This window comes from Homo sapiens, chromosome 16 (assembly GCF_000001405.40).
Source record: "Homo sapiens chromosome 16, GRCh38.p14 Primary Assembly".
Taxonomy (NCBI): Eukaryota; Metazoa; Chordata; class Mammalia; order Primates; family Hominidae; genus Homo; species Homo sapiens.
In genome coordinates, this window is record NC_000016.10 from 7,569,225 (window position 1) to 7,595,400 (window position 26,176).

The following is a 26,176-nucleotide window of genomic DNA, read 5'->3' on the forward strand; positions in this document are numbered from 1 at the left end:
AACACAAGTATATTAGGTTACAGTTCTGGAGATCAGAAGTGTAGCATGGGAATCACCAGGTTTACAAGGATTGTAGCTGGCAGGATGATATTTCTATAGGCTCATAATTTGATCTTTCCCCATGCCTTTCCTGGCCCCTGAAGGCCACTGTCATTCTTGGGCTCATGGCCCCTTTCCCCATCTTCAAAATCAGTAATGGTGGGTTGAGTTTTTCTCACGGGGTGTTCACTCTGACATTGGGGGTTCTCTTCCATGCCACTGGCCTCTGTTTCACTTCTCAGGACCCTGGTGATTATACAGGGCCCACACAGGTAATCCAGGATAATCTATTTTATGGTCATGTGATTAGCAACCTTAATTCTCCATTGCCATGTAAAGTATCCTATTCAAGATTCCAGGTATTAGAACCTTAACATCTTTAAGGGGTCATTATGTTGTTTTCCACAGAAAGCCACCAACCACAGGTGTCTGTTGAGCACCTGAAATACAGCTAGTGAGGCCAGGTGTGGTGGCTCATGCCTGTAATCCCAACATTTTGGAGACCAAGGCAGAAGGATATCTTGAGCCTAGGAAGTTGGGATTGCAGTGAGCCTTGATCATTCCAGTCTTGGGAATGGGAGTGAGCGCCTCTGTCTCCAAAAAAAACAAAACAAAACAATACAGCTAGTGAACTTGATTTAACTTCAATTTGAATGTAAGTACTGATACTTGATTGTTATTAGTTTGTTTGGGGGATCCTTCACATGTCATTTTTTCAAAGGCTAAATATAAATCAAGTATTTCCAATGACAATTCAGTTTCCATATGGAGATGTGTAAAATACAAGATTTCAAAGACATCCTCCAAAAAGAAAAGAATATAAAATATCTTTTACATGATAGCATGTTGAAATAATATCCTTAATAAATTGGGTTAAAATGAACGTTCTTAAAATTTTACTTTTTTTTTTTTTTTAAAAAGTGACTTCTAAGAATTCTAAAATGACGTATATCACTTACATTTTATTTTACAAGACAGGCTTCTCTAAAGTCCTTCACCAGCATCCTTGAGCTATATCTAATGCTGTGTGATGAGTGCATGTATTTTTCATTTCCATCAAATAGAATTTGCTACAGTTCTTATTTTATTTCTAATTATCCCCTCTCCCCTACTGAGCACAGAACTTCAACATCTCTAATTTCTGTCTGTATTCTGATTTCTACTGACAACTTCATGGTGGTATCATCTACCACATTTTACTCAACCGAAACTGGATGAGTAAGGACTGCCACCAGTACCCTGGACCCACAGACAACCCTGAGATAGAAGTCATTTATCTACGCTTGCAGCTAGGCTCAGAAGGATGTACATAGCTGGACTAGTGATGAAACTAGAGTTTTATTGCAGAGCTACCTAGCCATAAATATTCCTTCCCTGAATGTACATTAGCTCAACCATTGTGGAAAACAGTGTGGTGATTCCTCAAATACCTGGAACCAGAAATACCATTTTACCTGGCAATCCAATTTCTGGGTATATACCAAAGGAATATAAATCATTCTGTTACAGACACACATACACATGTATGTTCACTGCAGCACTATTCACAATAGCAAAGACATGGAATCAACTCAAATGCCCATCAATGATAGATTAAAGAAAATGTGGTACATATACACCGTGAAATACTATGTAGCCATGAAAGGGAAGAAGATTATGTTCTTTGCAAGGACAGTGGATGGAGCTGGAAGCTTTATACTCAGCAAACTGATGCAGGAACAGAAAACCGAACACTGCATGTTCTCACTCATAAGTGGGAGCAGGACAGTGAGAACACATGGACACAGGGAGGGGAACAACACACACTGGGGGAAGGGGCGAAGGGAGAGCATCAGGATAAATAGCTAATGCATGCGGGGCTTATTACTTAGGTGATGGGTGCAGCAAATCACCATGGCACACGTTTACTTATGTAACAAACCTGCACATGTACTCCAGAACTTAAGGAAGAAAAAAAAATCCTTCCCTGTGCTTCTGTACCCACTTACCTGGTCATCACTAGAAGATGCCACGCAGGTGGCCTCAGTCTTGTCTCCCTAGGGTCAGACAGAGGAAACCCCAGGAGGGGGACAGAATCCAAAAGGCATGTATCTCTACACGACTATGCATTTTCTCTCCAACAGTCATCCCTGGATTGGTCGATATCAAAATCCAATTTCACCAGGATTAGTCTCGGGTTGCTCAGAGCTATTCATTGAATTAGGAACGATTATAGCAGAGGGAGCCCCGTGGTTCTTTATTAAGGTCTTTGTGGAAGCACTAAGTGATCTTCAGGAGATTAAAGTGCCAGTGGTGTTTTCTTAACATTTATAACCTGCGCCGATACCTGGGGAGTTTGTGTATTAAGAAAAATTCTGCCGCACAGATCCCGCCTCCTAATAAGGCCTTCACACTGGGCCCGGGTAGAAGCTGGCATTGTGGTCCTAATGAGCTTATCAGGGAAGCTCTGCCAAGTGCCGCCTGGAAACCCACCTCTTGGGGTTAATGGACTTCCCATCTGTGTAGGGTCCTGCAGCCTTTCCTGTTTGATGGGGAGGCTGCGTCTCAGAGTTGTGCATGGCCTGAGAAATAAAACAAAAGCTAGGCCCGGCGCCGTGGCTCAGGCCTGTAATCCCAGCACTTTGGGAGGCCAAGGCAGGTGGATCACCTGAGGTCAGGAGTTTGAGACCAGCCTGGCCAACATGATGAAACCCTGTCTCTATTCAATCTAAAAATTAGCTGGGCTTGGTGGCACATGCCTGTAGTCCCAGCTACTGGGGAGGCTGAGGCAGGAGAATCGCTTGAACCTGGCAGACGGAGGTTGCAGTGAACCAAGATCGCACCATTGCACTCCAGCCTGGGTGACAGAGTGAGACTCCATCTCAAAACAAAACTGATGGTTATTAATACTGTTAATAATGATCACGATAATTATGTCCCCTCTTTATACAAGGGACTTAACCATTCACAAAGACTTGGATGTAATTTCACTCTAAAGCATCCAGGACAAGTATACATTTATCATTTTATGTATATGCAAATGGAGATCCAGAGACATGAAGTGAGCAGACTTGCAGGTCGCTCATGGTAAGGCTTAGTCATTTACGCTGCAGATATTTACTGAGAACTTACCACGGACTCCAGGTCAGCAGTTTCAAGTGGTACAGTTTTGCCTCCCAGGAGACATTTGAATCCCAGGAGATATTTTTTGTTCCAACTCACGGGTAGGCGACTGGCATGTGGTGGGTGGAGGCCAGTGATGCTGTTGAACATTCTGCAGTGCACAGGATGATCCACCCATCAAAAATAATAATAGGCTGGGCGCGGTGGCTCACGCCTGTAATCCCAGCACTTTGGGAGGCTGAGGCGGGCGGATCACGAGGTCAGGAGATCGAGACCATCCTGGCTAACGCGGTGAAACCCTGTCTCTACTAAAAATACAAAAAATTAGCTGGGCGTAGTGGCTGGCGCCTGTAGTCACAGCTACTCGGGAGGCTGAGGCAGGAGAATGGCGTGAACCCAGGAGGCAGAGCTTGCAGTGAGCCAAGATGGAGCCACTGCACTCCAGCCTGGGCAACAGAGTGAGAGTCTCTCTCAAATGAATAAATAAATAAATAAATAAAATGAACCAGCCCCAAATGTCAATGGTACTGACATTGAGGAACCGTACTATAGTGGTAGAGGGTTTCAGTGAACAGAAAAGCCACAGTCTCTGCTCTCCTCGAGTTACATCCTGGTAGAAAAGATAGGCAATATACAAAATCACAGAATAAAATAATAAAAAGGCAAGAAGAGATGTATGCTGTGAAGAAATCAGTGGTCAAGGGGAGAGAGAGTGCTGGTGCAGAGTTGCTGTAGATCATAGGGCCAGTGAAGGTTTCTCCAATGGGTGACACCTGGGCAGAGATTGTATCGGCAAGAGGGCAAGCTACAGGTGGTGTCCCAGGGAAAGAGTCTTCCAGGCAAAGGGCAGAATGAATGCAAAGACCAAAGATGGGGTCAGGAAAAGCAAAGAGGCCAACAAGCGACAATGGGAGACAGGCAGCAGGCAAAGTGGGAGGCAGTCACAGCCGAGAACACTGAACCTTATAGACCTAGAGAGCCAATGACGATCCAGGTTGGAGACCACTGAGAAGGGGGTGTCCCTGGCCACTTTCCCGTCCACCTCTAACATCCTTACTTTACTGACTGCCCTCAATTTCCTCCATTCTCTGAATTTTCTGCATGGCTATGTCCTACCTTCTGATCTCCCAAATATGGTAATGTCCATTCAGGTAGGTCTCACTTTAGAGCCAAACATAACTTTTATGGCCAGGCACAGTGGCTCAAGCCTGTAATCCCAGCACTTTGGGAGGCCAAGGCAGGCCGATCACTTGAGGTTAGGAGTTTGAGGCCAGCCTGGCCAACATTGTGAAACCCTGTCTCTAGTAAAAATACAAAAATGAGCCAGGCACAGTGGCACACACCTATAAATCCCAGCTACTCGGGAGGTTGAGGCAGGAAAATTGCTTGAACCCGGGAGGCAGAGGTTGCAGTGAGGTAAGATTGTGCCACTAGACTCCAGCCTGGGCAACAGAACAAGACTCTGTCTCAAAAAAAAAAAGAGGTCAAATAAATCAGGAGTTCTCTCAGAGATTACTTCCCACTAAGCTTTGATGTGCTACAGCTTTAGGAACTATAACTATGAATTCCGTAGCCACTGCCCTTCAGGAATGTGCATTCTAGATGGTTTGTCCTATTAGCAAGTTTCCTAGCTTTTTCACATTTTCTTTTCCTTAGGAATTACACACTATGCTTTTGTCATAACGTTCAGCAAGCTTCTCAGGGATGCTATAATGACTTCTCAAGTTGAATGAGGCACACTAGTAGGTACTGGGAACATACAGGCAGCATGTCTGTCCTTGAGTGTTGATGGCCTTTCAAGAGGCTGATGAAAGGCTTTCCAGCCAGGCGTCATTGCATCCAGGGCCATGATCGAAGGCCACTGGGGAGAGTGGGCTGGAGAGAGGAAGACTTAAGTGTTCTCTTTGGAGAGTCTCATTGAAGTGACACCTGTATCAGGGTTCTCTAGAGGGAAAGAACTAATAAAATAGATGTTTATGTAAAGGGGAATTTATTAAGGAGTATTGACTCACACGATCACAAGGTGAAGTCCCACAATAGGCCCTCTGTAAGCTGAGGAGCAAGGAAGTCAGGCTGGGTCCCAAAACCTCAAAAGTAGGGAAGCCAACAGTACAGCCTTCAGTCTGTGGTCGAAGGTCCAAGAGTCCAAAAGCTGAAGAACTTGGAGTCCCATGTTCGAGGGCAGGAAGCATCCAGCATGGGGGAGAGTTGTAGGCTGGAAGACTCAGCCAGTCTAGTCTTTGCATGTTCCTTTGCCTACTTTTATCCTAGGCGTGTTGGCAGGTGATCAGATGGGGCCCACCCAGATTGAGGGTGGGTTGGCCAGTCCACTGACTTGAATGTTTATCTCCTTTGGCAGCACACTAACAGACACACCCAGGACCAATACTTTGCATCCTTCAATCCAATCAAGTTGACACTCAGTGTTAACCGTCACAACTCCTATTGACAGATGACAGCCTGACAGGAACATTCATTCCTCCTTCTCCTAGACCTGCTTTGAGGCCACTCATCTTGAGAACTTCGTGCTGCCTGAAGTGGTGGAGGACGCATTGCCTCCTGGATAACAGCTGCTTGTTTGTACTGCATACACCTTTGCTTTATATGTTTGGTGGAGAGATGTAGTAGAGGGAATGGTGACCTCCAAAAAATATGTCCTTGTCTTCCATAAATGTGATCTTATTTGGGGGGGGCTGTGGGGGAGGAGGTCTTTGCAGATGTAACTAAGGATCAACACAAAATCCTCCTGGATTTAGGATGGGCTCAACAATTAATTATCCTTTTTTTGAGATGGAGTCTCACTCTGTCACCCAGGCTGGAGTGCAGTGGCACGATCTCGGCTCATTGTAACCTCTGCCTCCTGGATTCAAGCGATTCTCCTGCCTCACCCTCCCAAGTAGCTGGGATTACAGGTGCGCGCTACCCCACCTGGCTAATTTTTGCACTTTTAGTAGAGACGGGGTTTCACCATGTTGGTCAGGCTGGTCTTGAACTCCTTACCTCATGATCTGCCCCGCTCAGCCTCCCAAAGTGCTGGGATTATAGGTGTAAGCCACCGCACCCGACCCTAGTATCGTTTTAAGAAGAAAAAGGAAGAGGGAAATTGGAGTTTCACCCCCGCAGAGGGAAGTAGGGACTGTGGACATTGAAGCAGAGGATGGAAGGATGCAGACCCAAGCCAAGGAACACCTGCAGCCAACAAAAGCTAAATGAGGCAAGGCATGATTCCTCCCTAGAGCCTCTAGAGGAAGTGTGGCCCTCCTGGCACCTTGATTTTAGATTTCTGTCCTCTACAACTACAGGAGAATGAAGTCCAGTGGCTTTAAGCCGCCAGCTTTATGGTCCTCTTTCAGGAAACGAATATAGAGACATAAAACGCTGGCTGGTTCTAAATATGTTTTCCCCGGAAGGTCCCAGAAAAAAGAGAAAGAAAAGAGATCACACTCAGTGGAGGGCTTTGTGATGATCTCTAACCCCAACATGCGTTAGGCTCTGAGGTAGCTGCTCTGTCATCTCCTGCTGCATTTCATCCTTCCCACTATCCTGTGAGCTTAGTACCATTAGTGTCCTTTTTGTTTTTGTTTTAGAGGCAGAGTCTTGCTCCATTGCCCAGGCTGGAGTGCAGTGGCATGATCTTCCCTCACTGCAGCCTTGATCTCCTGGGCTCCAGCCATCTCCCACCTCGGTCTCCCAAGTAGCTGGGATGGCAGGCACATGGCCATGATCAGCTATTTTTTTTTTTTTTAATTTATTTAGTGGAGACAGGGTCTCACTATGTTGCAGGCTGGTGTCAAATGATCCTCCCACCTTAGCCTGCCAAAGTGCTGGGATTACAGGCATGAGCCACTGCACCTAGCCCCATTACCCCATTAATGTCCTTTGATGGAAAAGTAAAGTGAAGGTCAGAGAAGAAAAGTGACCTGCCTAAGATTAGCAAATAACAGGGATGGTCTGTGTGATTCCAAAACCCTGGTTCATTGTGCTGCATCCCACCATATAAAAGGCATGCAGGCTGAAAGAGATTTCCTTTTTCTGTTGTTTTATTCACTCCTCAACCTCTACTTCCTAACACTCTTCTTTTTCCCTTTCCATACACCCACAATGACCTGAAACACTTTTGGCTTACTTTTTTATTTTGCATGCTTTAAGGATTCTTTTTAATACACAGGTATTTCTCCATAACAGTTTATACGCATTTGTATATAAGCATACACTACAAAATGATTAATTGAGCGTTGTATGTTTTTATCAAAGGAAACAATGCAAAGATTTCTCCAAAGTGCTGTTTGACTAGAGATGATTAATTTTAATTTTCACATGAGCGGTATAATGCTATTAATCATTTAATATGTTTAATCATAATCTCTGTAATTCCTAATTAGGTTCATTAAACTGAAACATCCAGCAGTTATACACAAATCCAAATCTATGTTTCCTTCTCAGGATAAGAAGGAGCTCATTTTGTTTTTGCATTGAAACGGGAACTTCTAACAGGATGGAAGAGAATGGACTGGAAGCTTAGGGTTTCAGCTACAGCATCTGTAAACTCCGAGTCTGGGTGTAGAGTACTAAAACCCCTTAACTTCTGAAAAGTGACAGTTGCAGGATTCGAGCTCATTTCTGTGTCATGGACGTGGCACCAAACCTCGTATTCTCAGCGGAGAAAACGCAAATTCTGCTCTGTTTGGGTTTCAGTGTTACAGTGTTGCTCTTCGACTATCACATGAAGGCGGCGACATTGATTGTACACTTCTTCATGCATTTGTTTATTCGTGTACTAATAATTCATTCGGTCAGTGAGTGAGCCAACTGTTAAACAGACATTTATCATTTGTGTTACAAGCTGGTCATACCACACTCCTGCTGTGACCCTTAGGTGGCTCCTTATTGCTCTTAGGATGAAGCTCAGACTCTTGCTTTGCACAGTGTCCTTTGATCTAGCCCCTTGACTATCTTTGAAACCTGTCCTCCTGCCTTCCCTTCATACATGCCTCATCTGACCAGTGGTGCTGGAGTCCACACATACTCTCCTGAATCCAAGACATCATTTCACATCTCTGCACATCTGCACATGCACTGCCCTGTCTTGGAATAGCCTCAGTCCTTTTCACCTCTTCTCTTAGACATCTCCCACTTAACGTTTAACCTCCAGAATTGGCAAGCCTGGCTGAACCTCCAGCAGTGTCATATGACCTTGATTTAAGGTTACTCAGCCCTTTGTGATTGCCTCTTATCCCAACATTTACCAGTCTCTGGGGATGGTGGCTCACGCCTGTAGTCCCAGTGCTTTGGGAGGCAGAGGCAGAGGCAGGAGGATCACTTGAGGCCAGAGGTTCAAGACCAGCCTGGGCAACTTAGTGTGACCCAGGCTCTGCAAATAAAAATTAGCTGGGTATAATGGCTCATGCCTGTAATCCTAGCTACTTGGAAGGCTGATGTGGCAAGATTGAGCCCAGGATTTCAAGGCTTCAGTGAGCCGTGATTGTGCCATGGCATTCCAGCCTGAGTGACAGAGCAAGACCCAACTCCAAGAAAACAACAACAAAAGACAATGACAAAATGATTCTATTTATGATTGTTTTTCTCTATTGGTGTCATGCACTAAAGTTGGAATTGCATGTGACAAGGAGGGCTGATTTATGTGTCCAACACAAAGCAGTTGCTCAGTAAAGATGTGTAAACACTTTAAAAATAAGCAAATGAAAACCTTTCCTTCGTGTTTCTCAAAGGAGGTTTATTTCTCTTTTTGGTATTTAAAAAACTTGCCATCATTCTAAACATTTCGTCACTTTCCATTTATTGAATACATACCAGGAACTTGGCCAAGTTAGCACACATTAATCAATCACAAAGCCTCAAAAGGTATGAACTCATTATTCTTTATTTACCAGTTAAGAAAATGACCACTGTACTGCTTCCTATTCAATCCAACAGTATAGGCAAAATGACTAAATACATTGTCTAAATACATGACTTGCACTTAAAAGCTGAAGTCAACTGGTAGGTCTTTTGATACCAGAGCATCTTGGAAGAATGGTTTGCCAGCTAACAAGATGTCTTTATTTCAAAATGCGATTCAGGGTGTGTTAGGAAGGAAAATGCAAATGAAACCTTCCAGTACATACCAGGGCTGATGAGAAACTTGCTAATTATGCCCATGTTATCTGAGTGTTTGTTTTGTATTTCACTTTGTAAGATTGTCTTCTCTCGGTCGTTATTATTTTACACCTGGCTGCCTACATTGATAGTTTTGTCCCAATTATGTACTTCTAGATTGCTTATAAACAGGTCAGGATGATTCCTCACTCATAAATTTGATAGGCTTCTGTGTAAGCTTTCTATCATAGTTTCAAAGTTGGTATCTGATGTGGATGGCATTTACTGCCAGCTGGAGGCAATAGTTGCTAATTGCAGAGAAGTATCAAATGCTAAATGTCTGAAATGTTAAAACTCTAGAACCGAGAGTATGGCAGTGGCTATAATGATACCTAATGTGACTGTGACTTTTCCCCTCGTTCCTGCCAAATATGTGGGTGTCAATGTAACGTCATGTTATACAGCCTTATTTGGAAGACAGGGGAGGTGAAACAATCAGTTATGCTGATGATGTTACATGGTCTAGGCAAACAGAGCACAACAGCACTTTCTGCAGAGATGGAAACGTTCTGTATTTGCATTATTCAGTATGGAAGCAATAACTACATGTGGTTCTTGAGCGCTTGAAATGCAGCTAATGCAAACAAAGTTAAATATCTTGTTTTAATTCAGTTAAATGTAAATTGTCACATGTGGTCAACTGTAGTGGACAGCAAAAGTTTGTACAATTAGAACCTCAAAAGAATAAGTCAATCAGCTGGTTATTTGAACTCCAGAATGCCAACTAGTCTTTTCACATTTTTTACATTTAATTATGTTTTATCTGCACAATTACCTGAACAATTATGTAGGCATATCTTCAGATTCTGAACAGCGTCGGTTAAGAAATACACACTGTCCTGCCTTTAAAGATTATTACCCCCTTCTTGATGAGGTTCTCGCTCCCCACCTCCCAACCCCAGCAGCTCCCAGTCCCCTTCCTTTGCTTTTTCTAGCCTATAGTGCTTTTCTCTGTCTGCCAACACTCTATCTATGGATTTATTGTCTGTGTTGCCCTCATGAGAATGATGCTCCCTGAGGGCAGGGATTTTTGTCTGCTTTTCCCACTGCCTAATCCCAGATTCATAATGAGCACCCAGTGGACGCTCAGAAAACACTTGCTGAATGAATGCATGCATGCATGCGTCAGCATTTTCTTCCCTTCTCAGATTGCTTAGTTCTGATCTTTTCCTGCCACTCATGGCAAGCAAAAGAGCATCGGAAGAGAGCACTGTGGTCCACTGAGAACCTCTTCGGTTTCTTCTTGTTCTTTTAGCAGACAGATGACGCAGCACCGACGGATGGCCAGCCCCAGACACAACCTTCTGAAAACACGGAAAACAAGTCTCAGCCCAAGCGGCTGCATGTCTCCAATATCCCCTTCAGGTTCCGGGATCCGGACCTCAGACAAATGTTTGGTGTAAGTATCACCTTTCTTCCCAGCAGTGCCCGCTCTGGGGGTTCCAGAGACCTCCCTGTCTCATGTAAGTTTGGGGTATTTACAATACTAAGGTTAGATGTTTGTATGGGGAGAAACAATTTAGAGCCTAGTCTGCAGGTATATTGTGGCTAGAATCTCTTTATGGTTTTAGCATGTATTTCTGTACATATGCTCACCATGTATCTACTTTACCAAGTGGCTTTCTTCTAAGAAGTAACTTGTAGGCCAAATGGAACACAAATTCCTAGATGACCCACTGTTGAAGGAAGCCTATTGATGGTCCTAAATCCAATGGCCCAGGACATCATACTGCAGCAAAAATACACATCGAGTCCTCTTGGTTTTGCTTTCTTTTACAGTTGTCAAATGATCCAGAGGGTGACTCTTAGTGTATCCCTGCATTGCCTAGTCTTTCCCAGGCACTGTGCATTTAGATTTCAGATGCATCAGCAGAGAACAACTACTTCTGCATAAAGCTGATTTTAGCAAACAAAACAAAACCACCACCACCGACACCAAATGAGCTACCAGTTTCTAAGTCCATGTTGATTCCTGAAGTCTACGTTCTTCTGAAATCAGTGAAAAGGATTCAGAGGTACTTACTGTGGTGCTATATGCCATGAAGTGTAGCCTTGCCCAGGCACCATGGTGAAACACAGAGCAGGCCACAAGTCACCACTGACCCAGGAGAAAATAATAGCATTGCTTTTTTTATAGGTCATCTTGCCCCTGATTATTTTTTTCTCGAAGATATCTTCACTATCCACTTTGGGAAGACATGAGTTTGCCATTTCTTTGACCAGTGTTCCACCAAAGGACAAAGCTGTGACAGGGCTTGGATATCATTCATGTTTGCAGATGTAGCCAATTTGCCCATGACATCCCAGCAATGATAGCAGGTGCCTCTGGATTCAATGAAAAGAACTACATCCTTAACATTTGACTTAGAGCAATGGTGGGCTTCTCAGAGACTCTTCCTCTAAGAGTTAATAAATGGATGCAAATATCACAAAAGGAACAAGAAGATGCCCAACTTGAATGCCTCATTCCTAGCCAAGTTGGTGGTGTCTCCATATAAAATGGGAGGCTCTTGTTCACTACTCAAAGGCACTGTGTGTTGGGGATTAGCTTGCACCTTTTACTTCTTATACACACGTGATGCTTATCAAGTATGCATCTGACACAAAAGCAGAGCGAGCATCCTAATATTGAAGATACCCAGCTTTGAATGCTGACATTTCAGAGGAAAAGGTCAGCTCTTGCACTTTTATCTCTCTCATTTGGTAATAACCTTGAGTTGAGCCTTCCAACTCCTGCAGAACAGAGATACCCTCGGGCACTTTCAGGTCAAAGATGACTTTGAAAAGTGCAGAGCATTCAAAGTGAGAGTCGAGGTTAAGTGTGTGTGAGGCAGTAAGACCAGGTGTGAATGATGGGCGGTAAGAGGAGTTATATTCTCTTTGCCGTGTCAGGTTAGGAAGACATCTTGCTATGCAGTCTATTTTTTTCTCATCAAGTGTCACTGTGATGTTGGCTTTCAATGTGATCCCCTTAATGACCGTCCTGACACTCTTTCATGGTGTCACTCAGTTATCGTGAAAGTTACTGCAGGCTACAATGCTAAGTCATAGAGGTATTCAAAATATTCACAGGAATCAGAGAAGGGATCCTGAGTCTCTCTAGTCTTACAGAGGTAGGGTAGACGGCAAGGAGCAAGATCTTGCCAAAAAATTGTACTACCGGTCATCAGACCTTGATCCAAATCTACTAGTTTCAGGGCTCTTGTTTTTAAAAAGACAAGTTCTCACTCTGCTACCCAGGCTAGAGTGCAGTGGTGTGATCACGGCTCACTGCAAATTCTTGGGCTCAAGGGATCCTCCCACCTCAGCCTCCCAAGTAGCTGGGACTACAGGCACAAGCCACCATGCTTGGCTAATTTTTAAGTATTTTTTTTTAATAGAGATGGGGTCTCAATTTGTTGTCCAGGCTGCTCACAAATTCCTGGCCTCAAGCAACCCTCCCGCCTTGGCCTCCCAATGTGCTGGGATTACAGCATAAGATGTGAGCTATTGCACCCATCCAGCACCCCCCCCCCCCCTTTTTTTTGTGACAAAGTCTTAGTCTGTCACCCAGACTGCAGTGAAGTGGCATGATCTCGGCTCATTGCAACCTTTCTCCTGGGTTCAAGCGATTCTTGTGCCTCAGCTTCCTGACTAGCTGGGACTACATGCATTCACCACTTCACTTTAAAGTCAAGATTTTCAAGCAACTGACAAGATGTCAATTTGGCAAGATGATAGATACACTTAATACCTGTCAATTAAGAGAACACACCATGCATTTAGTGCACAAACTCAACCTTGTTCATCACAAATAGCATCTGTGTCCCTTTTTTTAAAAGTATGCAAGATTTATTTGTTTCTGTAAATTTTGTCTATAAAAGTGCCAGGAACATACAGATTCATAGACCCCCTTGCAATGACTTTCAAGCCTCCTTAGTTTACAACCACTATTCTAAAGAAATGCAGTTTTATGCACTAAAAATCTGTTCTTTCCTGCCAAACACCGGTGGTCATGGAGCCGTTCTTGTTATAGGATACATTTAGTGGCAGGAATCACATTGTGAAGCATCTGTAAACATTCTCATTGGCTCCCTGCACTGGAGCTTAGGGAATTTAGGAGGGTTTCCTCTTTTGGGTCATAGTTACTGCAAGAAACTACAGTTTAACTCCAATTCGGTACTTCTCACGTTATTTGGACATGAGACATCTTCTTTCCTTTTGGTGCTCTATCCTGTCTTTGTCTTCCCACTTTGACAGGGGTTTACAGTGAGGACAATTACAGAGAAAAACAGTCACAAAGATCTTTGTGCTTTTCCCCCCCTTTGTCTCTTGTTAAATATAGGCATGGGATTTCAAAGTCAAAAGCAAAACAAGACAAAAAAGCAACCTCCTTCTTCAAACTGCCTAAAACTTGGCAGTGATCATTACAACGTCTGTAACCACTAATAATTCGACCATACCATCTGCAACCGTTACATGCCTAATGGTTACTGCAGATGACTCATTTTATTTCTAATTTGTATCTTCAGCACATCATGAAGATTGGAATCCTGATTACCTTTTCCACCTTGTGCTTCATATTCTTTACTTTCTACTCATTGGAAGCATTTGTTCCCATGTTTGGCATTAAATCTTCTAGCTCATCTTTTTTTTTTTTTTTTTCTCATTTGAGATGGAACATTCCTTGGGCAAGATATATGGCTACAGTATACAAAGCAGAAGCCATCGTCTTTTAAAAATACCGGTTGAGGTTCAAGGGAATGGATCTGTTCTGTGCAGTGGCATTGATATTAAATGGTTCATTGGAAGGGATGTTAGTTTTATAGGTGGCTACTTTTTCCTTGAGCTTTGTCTTCACGTTAGGTATCATGCATGAGCATGCATTTTCTTTACAGATAAATGTTTGATGATCCCAAAAGAGGAATATATGGATTTCTAACAAATTAATTGCGATATATTGCACCCTAAATAGAATGTTTAACTTAATATTTAACATTTAAACATTCTGGGTTTGAAGTGAGACAAGTGGATTGTGATATATCCAGACTTCTGCTACAACAGATGGATGGATGTTCTGGATGCCTTCACGGAATTGTCAGAAACAGTTGCTCAATGACTACAGTTCTCAAATTTACACAACACCCTTGTTGATTCCACAGCCTTACTTTAGGGGTCAAAATACAGACCCTCTTGGCCAGGCATGATGGTGGCTTATACCTGTAATCCCAGCACTTTGGGAGGCCGAGGTGGGAGGGTTGCTTGAGTTCAAGAATTTTAGACCAGCCTGCGCAACATAGGGAGACCCAGTTTCTACAACAATAAAATCAAAAAAAACCACACCAAAACAAAATATAGGTCCTCTGGGCAGGAAAATGGTCCACTAAACCTCTCTTTATTGTCACAAAAAAACAGATCACATGACTTTCAGCACATGCAAAGGAAGATTTCAAGATCACTTTTTAGTCACGAGACGGGCTTGCCTGTACTTATGACGTTAATGGAAAGTTCCATCTACCATGATGTTGTGAGTGAAGTCATTATGGGGAGACAGGGCATGGTACCTTCTACTTCTGCATTCTGAACAGGAAGCTGACACTAAGAAAAACTGGGATGATGCCTTTCTTTGGCCTTCACGCACAATCTTTGAACTAACCTTTACTTTTACGTTTTATGCTGTATCCATTGAACATCCCTCACAGTTTTTCAGAGAAATATTGTTTGATCTGAGAACATCTAAAAATGCTTGGTAGGTATTTGCCAAAGTGTGTGTGCCTGTAAGCTTCTAGATCTTGTTTGTTTTGTTTTTTAAGATAGAGTCTCGCTCTGTCACCCAGGCTGGAGTGCAATGGCACAATCTTGGTTCACTGCAACCTCCACCTCCCAGGTTCAAGTGATTCTCCTGCCTCAGCATCCCAAGTAACTGGGATTACAGGCTCCTACCACCATGACTGGGTAATTTTTACATTTTTAGTAGAGACAGGGTTTCACCAAGTTGGCCATCCTGGTCCCAAACTCCCCACCTTGTGATCTGCCCGCCTCAGCCTCCCACAGTGCTGGGATTACAGGCATGAGCCACCATGCCTGGCCTGGATCCTGCTCTTGATACAGCTATTGAGAAACTTTGTGTGGATTTGAGGCGTTGTTGAATGCAGCTGAACATTGATGTTGAGCAAACAAATGCTAGTTATGTCTGCGAATGAGTCGTGTCTATTTAAATTGAAAATGTGCCAGCTGTGTTTACATCATTAGTAGCGAACTTCCCAATTAAACTGTTGATACTATAAATATAGTACACAACTGTCTTGGAAATGGGGCTTACATCAGCATTCTTCTTTGGGCTTGTTTCACCGGCTTTGAGAACCGTCAACCTAACAGCAACTGCCACAGAAGCAAACTTTGAGACCACTTCAGGGCAGCTGATGTCATTGTTTCATTTAGGGAATGACACCTGCCAAGATTGCTGTTTGATTGGTTCTGTCTCAATCAGATCTTATTTTAAAGGAAATGTTTTTGGGTTGACTGCCTAGAGAATGTTCCATAGATGACAGTTGCATCGCGGTTTTGGAAGAAGTCCTTTTCAAGCTTCTCTTTCTGTAAATATATGTGCTTCTAGGCTCTTATGCCTGAAATAAATATGATAGCGTCTGTGGAGACTGAATATTCAAGGGTGGTTGGTATCAAAATTACTGCTTGAGGAGTTCACAAAACTGGAGGTTTCTTTACTATGAAATTCAGCTCACGTTTGAATGGCAAATCCTTCATTTCCCCAATCTGAATGTTTTCTTCTATTTCCAGTGATTTTTCTCTGCCTAAAACTAGGGCACTGAAAATGCTCTGTAAAGGAATATTCTCTTGACCAAAAGATCTAAGTCCACAGATTGCAGGATGAGTAAGCTGCACGTTTGTTGGCGTTTCCATTGTGCATGCAAGCAATGTGACCCCTTTCCATGTTCTCTTCTGAGTATTTTCTCTTTGGTTTCTTCCTATCCTTTGCTTCTCTGAACAGAAGTGCTGGTAGTTCTTTGTTTCACAACTTGAAATATGTGCGTCTGTGATTCCCCCGGCTGTATAGTGTATGGGTCCTGAGGAACGGGCACATTTCTATGGCACAGAATGACAAACTTTTGGTTACTTTGTCCCATAGTCAGAACTATTTTTATTTCAAGATTGGGCTGTCTGTATTCAAGTGGCATATACATTTGTTTCTACTGTTTCTGGGAGGGTGGATTTCTTTGTCCATTCCAGAGGATAGCTATCTGTATGTTCTAAATAATTTGTTTCTTGAATGTTAGTAGGACCCTCTTGACATTCACTCTCTGTGTCTCTGGATACTCTATGACTGAAACACATAGTCAGGCAAACCTCCCCTGCTTCTTGTGTGGTCTTTTTGTTTGTTCCTTTTTTATCCTGCCCCACCCCTCACCCCAGTCGCTCTGTCCGCTGCCACACAGAAGCACGCGTAATGCTCTCCACTCAAGGGAGAGATGGAATACAAAACCTCTGGGGGTCATAAAGGATGCAATTAAAATCCAGAATGCAGAAGTGAATGGAATGATAGGAAAGCTCAAAACAAAACAAAAAAAGAGGATGGAAATATTTATGTTGCCCTGTTTAATTTTTAATCACTCAAAGAGCATTTGCTCTCATTCTGCATGGAGATAAAATTCCCATTTTATTTTTCCCTGGGCCACAGTACATGATTTTACATTACCCTCTCTCTCAGTTGCTCGTACTTATGCAGGTTAGGCTACTGTACTCAAGAAATGGCCACAATACTTCATGTGATCTCAGAAAACTGAAAAAATTCCAAGGTTGGGGGAAAGGATTTCAGATGATCCGATGCCCCTAGTTCTAGAGCCCATACTTCCTGTTTTGAAACGTGATCAAGAATTGCTTGATGTACATTTCTCACTGGGACTTCCAGATTTCACAAATTTAAAAAATATGTAAGACACAGTCGTTGAATTTGAAGTTCAAATAAACCACAAGTATTAAGTATAAGTATGTCCCAAATGTTGTGTGTGACATATCCTGAAAAATCTGAAATTTAAATTTAACCAAGTGTCTGCATTTTATTTGTCTCTATTTATAATCTGAGTCTCTGTTTCTGGACTTTTCATAGAGCCTATTCATGCTAGTTGTCTAAAATCTATTTGTTTAACAATGTGGAGAATTATCTTGAGAGAATTTCAGCCCAAGCACTGATCACAACTGCTGATACCATCATGATGATAGTGCCTAGATAGTGGAGTTTGCTTCTGTGTTTGTACTTTCTTGCTCATATGATAGAGCTGCTCCTAGATTTTATGTGAGCTAGGAGCCAACCCCAGTCACATCACATTCTCACTGGACATTGATTATCAAAATCACATTTCATCAAGGGTGTTTCTCCCAGTGTTTAGTGGGATAGACCAGAAGGATCATTGTATGTACATACTAGCCACTTTTAATCTTTGCTGCTCAGTGCCTGGGAAAGCAGACATGCACACAGGAAAAAAAGAAAAATAGAATTAACCTCTTGATTAATATTTTGTATCAAGCCTTGCCGGTATATTCCATAATAAGGAGAAAATATGGGTGGTTTTATTTTCTCTTGTTTCAAGCACATTAACCATAAAACATAAAATGTGTATCCTTGGTATTAAAAGAGAAAAAAATGGACGTGGGAAACAATTACTACTGTACATAGTAATGTCTACTGCATTTCTCTTCTTGCTTATAAGATATTTCTATTTCTTTGCAGCAATTTGGTAAAATCTTAGATGTTGAAATTATTTTTAATGAGCGAGGCTCAAAGGTAAGCAACTTAATTCACTTTAGAATTGTTTAGTTTATTTTTAAATGTTTGTTATGAATAAGGGGAAACAACTGCACTGTCTTAATCAGCTCATTGTGAAAATACACTTCAGTGGGAATTCCTTTAGAGACCACCTTCCGTTTTCAAAATGGTGGGAAAGACATCGGGTTCAGTTTAAAATGTATAAGGGGATAATTTTAAATTGCTGTTTTATATATATATCAAGTTTCCAGAGGAAAATTATACATGCTTAAAAAAATAATGATGTTGCTACATTTTTGTTTTTCAGTGATAATTATGTTCTTTATATTAAAAAGTGAGTTGATAGTCTCATGAGCAGGTAAATATGTGATTATTCTGTATTAATAAAGTGCAGTTATTTTCCTGGGTTGTAGGGGAGAAAAATCTCATATACACCAACCTTTTGAATGTAATTTTATTCTTTAGTATGTTTACCGATCCACATTTAGCAATTTGCCATTGCTTTGAGTTTGTTTTTTCAAGGAAACCAATTTTTAAATAGATTCCCTAGTGCTAATAAAAGTCAGGGGCTCTATGGAGAGGTTTGGGTTCAGGAGAGGTTCTGTTTCAAAACAGAAATATGGGCTGGGTGCAGTGGCTCACGCCTGTAATCCCAGCACTTTGAGGTGGGTGGATCACCTGAGGTCAGGAGCTCAAGAGCAACCTGGGCAACATGGTGGAACCTCGTCTTTACTAAAAATACAAAAATTAGCTGGGTGTGGTGGCATGTGCCTGTAATTCCAGCTACTCGGGAGGCTGAGGCAGGAGAATCGCTTGCACCCAGGAGGTAGTAGTTGCAGTGAGCTGAGATTGCACCACTGCACCACAGCCTCGGTGAACAGAGCAAGATCCTATCTCAAAAATAAGCAAATAAACAAAAGAAATATGTTGGGAGAAGAGAAAAACAGAAACATTTCTAAAACCTCCTCTCTATCAGTGGCTAACCAAGGGTGGTCCCAGACCAGGAATATCAGCATCACCTAGGAACTGATTAGAAATGCAAGTTCTCAGGCTCCAGCCCTGATCTGTTGAATTCAAAACTCCCAAGTTAGGGCTCAGCAACCTGTGTTTTAGCTCCACTGAGGAAAACAACACATGAGGCCTATAAGCAGACACAGGGGGTTAACAGGGAGAATGATGGAGAACAAAGATGTGGATCTTGGTAACCAGAAAGTGAATGCTTTCAATAGCTCTGACGGGTCTCCTGGCTGCCAGTCCCCAGGCTATTAGGAATTTTAAGTTCCCTTCTCCTTGCATCCTCAGACTATGAATGCAAATGTTGAGAGATAGTGATTTCAGCCCATTGACTCTCCTTACACAGGCGATTTGAGGCAAGTCGGTATCACGGAGGGTCAGTAAGCGGTGCTGGTTTTATTTGAAGTGTCACAGGCCACATTGCCAGCTCTTTTGGATGTGTATAACCATCTTTCCCCCATAAAACAAACCTTTGATTTTTTTTTCTTTATTCCTTGGACAGCCTTCCTCCCTCCTAAGTAAATTTAGTACTAATTAACTAGGATGATGTTGATCATATCAAGGAAAGAAAACCCCAGTATTTTCTCCTCCATGGCCAGAGTGATGTTGTAATCTGTCAGATGAGCAAAAACAAAAGCAAAACAGAATCCCTTACACTTTGTGATAATACTCCTTCAGGGACCTTGTCATTTTTCCATAGCTCCAGATATTTTACAATCGTTCTCGAACTTAAGTCTCTTCCTGCTTCTTGTAGGAAAGTTATTACGGGGACTATTGCTATACCTGCAAAGCAAAGTGCATTGAGAGAAAAATGTGCCCAGCCTAATTCTGTTCACTCGAGCCTTCTGTATTCTTGGCGAAATTGTAGATGACCCGAATGTTGACCAACTTCGTTCTGACCCTAGGTCTGTCTATAGCAGCACTGCCTTCAAAGATGTGTTGTTGTTGTTGTTTTTTAATATGTTTAATTTATATTTTGTTTTGTAACTTTTGCCAGTTACAATGAAGAAAGCTGTTTAATTCCTTCTGAGAGCTGTTTTGGGACATTAGAAGAATATCATTTGCCATTTTGAAAGTACAATGGTGATACTGTTTTTAAGACATCTTCCGTCATTCCCATGATTAGCCTGTCTCTGGGGGCTTCAGGAAAAAGACCATTTAAGTTTGCTGCATCCAGAGCCTGACTTTGTGAAGCTGCCTTTTTTTGGTCTTTATTCTTTTGGTTTAGGAAACATCCAAAATAGCCTCTCTCGGTGGGTATGCGCCCTCTGAAAGAGCTTGTCTTGCAGGTGTTGGAGCTGACTGTTTAGGTACTGCTGGAATGGCACTGAGACAGTCCAGTTGGGACTGCTAAATGGGGGCAGCAGCTCACACAGGGATATTTTTCATAGTTGACATTATCCTTTATGGGAAAGGGCCTTATTTAGAGGAGCATTTCCATTTTAATGGTTCAGAAACCTGAACTGTTGCTATGGCCTCATTTTCATCGTTTGGTGCTGGACAGACAGCCAGGAAATGAGTGGGCCCTTACGAGCCAGGAACTCACCTTCTTGCCTTTCATTCTCTAGAGCAGTTCTTCAGGCAGGCCACTCAATGCTGAAGGCTGTGTGTGCTGGGTGTGTGTGTGTGTGTGTGTGTGTGTGTGTGTGTGTGTGTATGCGGACATATAAACCCATATGTACTTAAGGGATGGACGCAGTGTCTCATACCTAACATTCTAGCCCTTTAGGAAGCTGAGGTGGGAGTATTGTATGAAGCCAGGAGTTCAAGACCAGCCTGGACAACAGTGAGACCCCATCTCCACAAAATAATAATTTAAAATTAGCTGGGCATGGTGATATACACCTGTAGTCCAAGCTACTTGGGAGGCTGAGGCAGGAGGATTGCTTGATCCCAGGAGGTCAAGGCTTTACTGAGCTATGATTGCACCACTGCATTCCAGCTTGGGTGACAGAGTGAGTCCTTATCTCAGAACAAGTATCTATATTACTTTGGAATATAGATCCAGTATCTATATTCCAGGTAGTATCTATATTATTTTGGAAATGTATATAACTCAAGTATTTAATGTATGGGTGAATAGCAAGAATGCAGAAAATCCACATTTTAAAGAGATGTCAGAGAGAAAATGAGAATTCGTAAGCATTTAGGGGCGAATGATCCTGTAATTTATTTTTCCTTTTTACGAGATTTACCCAACCATCTCGTTTACCTCTGATATGGTCTATTTAAGGGCTGTATGCAGATATAGCTACTCCCTACGTATATACTTAAGATATCTGGCCGTGTGCGGTGGCTCACTCTTGTAATCCCAGCACTTTGGGAGGCCGAGGCAGGCGGATCACCTGAGGTCAGGAGTTCGAGACCAGCCTGACCAACATGGAGAAACCTTGTCTTGACTAAAAATACAAAATTAGCAGGGTGTGGTGGTGCATGCCTGTAATCCCAGCTACTCGGGAGGCTGAGGCAGGAGAATCACTTGAACCCGGGGGGTGGAGATTGCAGTGAGCCGAGATCAAGACATTGCATTCCAGCCTGGGCAAGAAGAGGGAAGTTCTGTCTCTAAGAAAAAAAAAAAAAAAAAAAAAGCTACACTTTGATCTTTGATTCAGTAGATATCAGTAAGTATTTGCTGCATTTCATGAGAGCCAACCATGAGTAAGACAGAAGTACTTCCTGTCCTCCTGGGCTTTCCTGAGTAGCAGGAGAGATGGACTAGGAAGATGAGTGACTGCAGTAGCCTGTGCTGTTCTGCGGTGATGGGAGAGGCCACTGAGAGTCCGGACAGGCAGGCTGATATTGTGAGAAGGCTTCTGGAAAGAAGGAACATTTAAGCTGAGAGTGAGAGTTGCGTAAGAATTTCCCAGGGAGGGGAAAGAGGGATGTGTCTCAGGCAGGAGAAGTTGCATGTGCAAAGATCACTGGAGTAAAAGTGAGATGAGAGGGCTCATAGTCCCATCGGAAAATGAATCTTCAGATGCTCATCAACAGCTCCCCTCTTCTAAATATGAATTCTCTGCACCAGAAACTAGAGGACTGGATTTTTCATCTAGGATGAAAAATCAGTACCTTCATCCATCCAGGGTGCTTTATTTAAGTCTTTAACATATAAAATGGTGTATTTGCATGAATGCAAAAAAGGAAGATATCACCTAAAAATACAAAAGATGAAAAAAGAACAATAACTAGGATACAAGAGGATCAGAATGTATGATTTGCGAAAATATTTTAAAGTAAGCAAGTCACGTTGGTCTGGCAATCCTCTTAAGGTCCCCGTTATCTGCCCTACTGATTATACCTGCTCATGACAGGGCACAGGCCACCAATCTCTTTTCTTCAGTAGCATTAAAGGTAAACTCTGGGAAGGTGTGTCTCTGACTCCCCTTCTCTGTACCCCTTCTTGCGGTCTTGATTTTTTAAGCAGTTACACATCAGCATCACACCCAGCCCTTTGCCGAGCAAGCCAAGCTCAGAATGTGCTTGTTTTGTTCTCCTTTTTAAGGCAGAGGTAAAAATATTCATCATCTTTTTAAAAACTGCAAATTGCTGCTTCCCTGAGTTAGAATTCCGACCATGAGGCGGGTCAGAAAAAACAACCTTAGCACCCGCTCTCAAGGTTGCCTGGCACCTGTGCATCGTGGCAAAGGTTCCCTGCTCATAGAGAGGACCAGGTGAGGTCTTTCTGGTTACATTGCAACCCTCAGGTGAGAATTTTGATAACCTGATAACCCAGGGAGGCCATGCCACTTCTTGTCTGGGTGGGAGGTAGAATTGCCCAACGGAACAGGTAGGAAAGTCTGTCTGGCATTTTGAGGACCGTCTGGAGCACATTCTTTCTGCACCGAACTTTGTCAAATCTCAACTCTAAATGAGGAATACCAAGTAGCTGACAAGCAAAGAGAGAAAGAAGTTTCGCAGAAAAACAATGAGAATAATAAAAAAGAATGTATTCTCTTTGCTTAAAAAGTGAGAACTTGAGAATAGATGAGGCTATTTCCTTTTTAGTTCATGCCCCTTCCTTGGGATTCAAAATGTATTTCTCTTTCCACCTTTGTCTTTCCTAAACATACTTAATGCTGATTTCGGGGCAGTAGGTTTGCCTTGGGTTCAGACATGAAGCATGAGAGCAAGGTTCTGGAGTATAATGTTGGACAGGAGGGTGAGTGTTCAGTCTCACCTGGCTGTGTTCTTCCCAGTGCTGTGGTAATAATGACTGCTAGTTCCAAAGGGCAGAAATGATACCACCTGGCCCTCCAGCTATACCAGTGGGGCTATGGATTTTCTTTTCTTGCCGGGAGAGAATATAAATCCAAAGCCCTCGTTTCTCTGATTCTTTTTGGAATATGTGGCATGGCTATGGTTGCTAGGAAGTTAGGCCCATCAGGGAGGAAGAGAACGTTGCCAAGAAGCCTGGGACATGTGCTTTTGGCTGTACCTCTACATGTAAGCTCCAAGTAACTGAGTCAAAATCTATAGCCAAAAATCTATAGATATCAGCAATATAAAATTCTATTTATTACAAAGGATGAAAACCTCTTTTTCAGATAGGGTGTCACCCAGGCTGGAGTACAGGGGTACAATCACAGCTCACTGTAGCCTCAACCTCCTGGGCTCAAGCAATGAATGCTCCCACCTCAGCCTCCCAAGTAGCAGAGACAATAGGTACAGGCTGTCACACCTGGCTTTTTTTTTTTTTTTGGTAGAGGTGAGGTTTTGCCATGTTACTCAGCCTGGTCTCAAACTCCTGGGCTCAAGTGATCCTCCTGCCTTGGCCTCCCAAACTGCTTGCATTACAGGTGTGAGCCACCATGCCTGGCCCAAAACCTTCTTTTGATGGTTTCGATCACACGTAGTGAAATGAGAGGTCATGGAAATCAAATCACTGGGCCACACATTTTAAGCAAACACATTTCTGGACTCCAGTCTGGGATTCTAATCCAGTGGATACAAAGCAAGGCTCAGGAATCTTAATGTTTAATGTCCTCCCAAGTTCCTTCTGATATGCGGCTAAGTTTGAGATATACTGGCCAAGAGTTAGAACTGTCAAATAGAGCAAAATCCCCCTAAATTCTCTCTTTTTTCCCTTTGAAGAACAATCATTTCCAAACTATACAGTTGGCGAGTGTATTTGCATACCCAATATGGGCATACTTTGTGCACAAGACTAAGCAAGACCCTTCTGTTATGGAGCAAATAATCTTAAATGAATCAGATAATTCAGGCTTATCCTAATCACAGAGCCTCACTATGGGAAAGATTATGGAAGGTAATTTGGTTCAATCCCCTAAAGTAAAGAAACGTTATTTTTCTCGATACAGTTCACCCTTGAACAACACAGGTTTGAACTGTGCAGGTCCACTTACATGTGAATTTTTTTTTTTTCCAACCAAAGGCAGTATTCCCAGGATGTGTGGCCTGTATATATAGAGGGCTGATTTTCTTCTATACTCACATTCCACGGGGTGACTGTGGGACTTGGAAATGCAAGGATTTGGGTATCAGGGGTGGGGATGTCTTGGAACTAATCTGTAGTGGATTCTGAGGTACAGCTGTCTATAGAATCCCGACAAATAATCATCTACCCTCACTTGAATACATCCACATCCCCTGTCTTCTGTGGCTGATGAGCCTATTCCGACTGTTGAAAAGTTCCGTTAGCCAGCCCATTGCACAATACTTTTTTTGTTGTTTTATTATACTTTAAGTTCTAGGGTACAGGTGCACACTGTGCAGGTTTGTTACATAGGTATACGTGTGCCATATTGGTTTGCTGCACCCATCAACTAGTCATTTACATTAGGTATTTCTCCTAACGCTATCCCTCCCCCAGCCCCCCACCCCGTGACAGGCCCTGGTGTGTGATGTTCCCCGCCCTGTGGTCAATACCTCTTTAGCCTTAAATTTGGAGGTGATTATAGAGAACTAATGTAGGACTGGGAGTTATCACCAGTTGGTTATAACTACCATGTATTTGTAATTATTGTGCATTTCTTTAGTAAAACTAAGTATTATACTGTCCCAACTCAACTTGGAGCCAACAAGGATTATTTGATGCTAAGAGGAGCCCCAACATATTGCATGATTTCACCCAGTTTACAGTGAAAAATCTGAAAGAGCTGGGTAAATTTATGTGGAAATTGTTCGAAAGGTTGGTGTATATTTCTGAACAAGATGTACAAATATTTTTAGGGGCTTTAAAAATAATGTGTCGTATTTTCTGTACTTAGGAACAATGTCAGTGAAGACAAAATACGGATTTTGACAATATAGTTTAGTGGGGTTGATTTTTGAGGCTGAAATATTAAAAGCCAATGTACCTGTGGTAAATTAAAAGGTATATATGTTATCTATCAGTAAAAGAGGAAGTGGCCAGAATATTATTACAAATTACATTCTATTAACAAAGTTTCTTTGCTACCTGTTGATATGAAAAATAAATATTGACCTAATGCCAGAACTTTACAATATGGGTACACCTTTCCCTTTCTGGTTAACAAAGTAGGATGGAAGGTTGTCAAATTCAAAAGCGTGTATGCAATTTGAAGAGTGGGGAAAGTATGAGCACAAACATTGAATTGTTTGTATTATTAATCAACTGAAGTTTATTTCTGTTCATTTCATGTGACTTTTTTGTTTATTAGACCAAAGAGTTTAAGATTTATTATAAAAAAGGTCTTTCCTTTTTTAGGCTTTTAAGTTTTATTTTTGAGAAGTAAAGGCTGTAGAACTGACAAATTTGAATAACCCTAAAACTGCATGAAGAAGAGATGTTCTTAAAACCACACGGCATGACTCTGTAGGCAATGTTAGAGGATTTTGGCATTCATTGTTGAATTTCGTGCACACGTTTTATTTTATTTTATTTTTAATTTGCATGTCAAAAAAGTGGTTCCCTTTTCTTTTCCTCATTATTTCATTTTATTCTCTGTGAAGACACTGTAAATTTATTTTGATCTCATTTTCTTTTCGTTAGATTTATTTTCTTCTGTAGTGACATTTAGAAAGGTATTTTTGGTATCCTTCTTTGAATACTTCAGGGGTTACAGCTAACTGGTGACAGAAAAAAATATCTTGTTCACATTTGTCGCTTAATTATTGCACATC

At 42.2% G+C, this 26,176-nt stretch overlaps 1 protein-coding gene across 52 annotated transcripts in view, besides 1 other annotated feature; it reads left to right on the plus strand.

The window, feature by feature from the left end:
- RBFOX1 (RNA binding fox-1 homolog 1) overlaps positions 1-26,176 on the plus strand; it is a 2,473,620-nt gene that overhangs the window by 2,329,504 nt on the left and 117,940 nt on the right. For all 52 annotated transcript variants that reach the window (NM_001415887.1, NM_001415888.1, XM_017023318.3 and 49 more), the window contains 2 exons: positions 10,553-10,696; positions 18,023-18,076. In NM_001415887.1, the coding sequence (NP_001402816.1) occupies positions 10,553-10,696; positions 18,023-18,076 (198 nt within the window). The remainder of the gene's footprint in view (positions 1-10,552; positions 10,697-18,022; positions 18,077-26,176) is intronic.
- Positions 10,220-11,419: an enhancer, noted in NCBI's record as "CDK7 strongly-dependent group 2 enhancer chr16:7629446-7630645 (GRCh37/hg19 assembly coordinates)". NCBI's record gives its function as "activates an origin of replication core promoter dependent on BRD2, BRD4, P300/CBP, MED14 and CDK7 cofactors, with strong dependence on CDK7, by STARR-seq in HCT116 cells {active_cell/tissue: HCT116}" and the evidence as "EXISTENCE:reporter gene assay evidence [ECO:0000049][PMID:35650434]".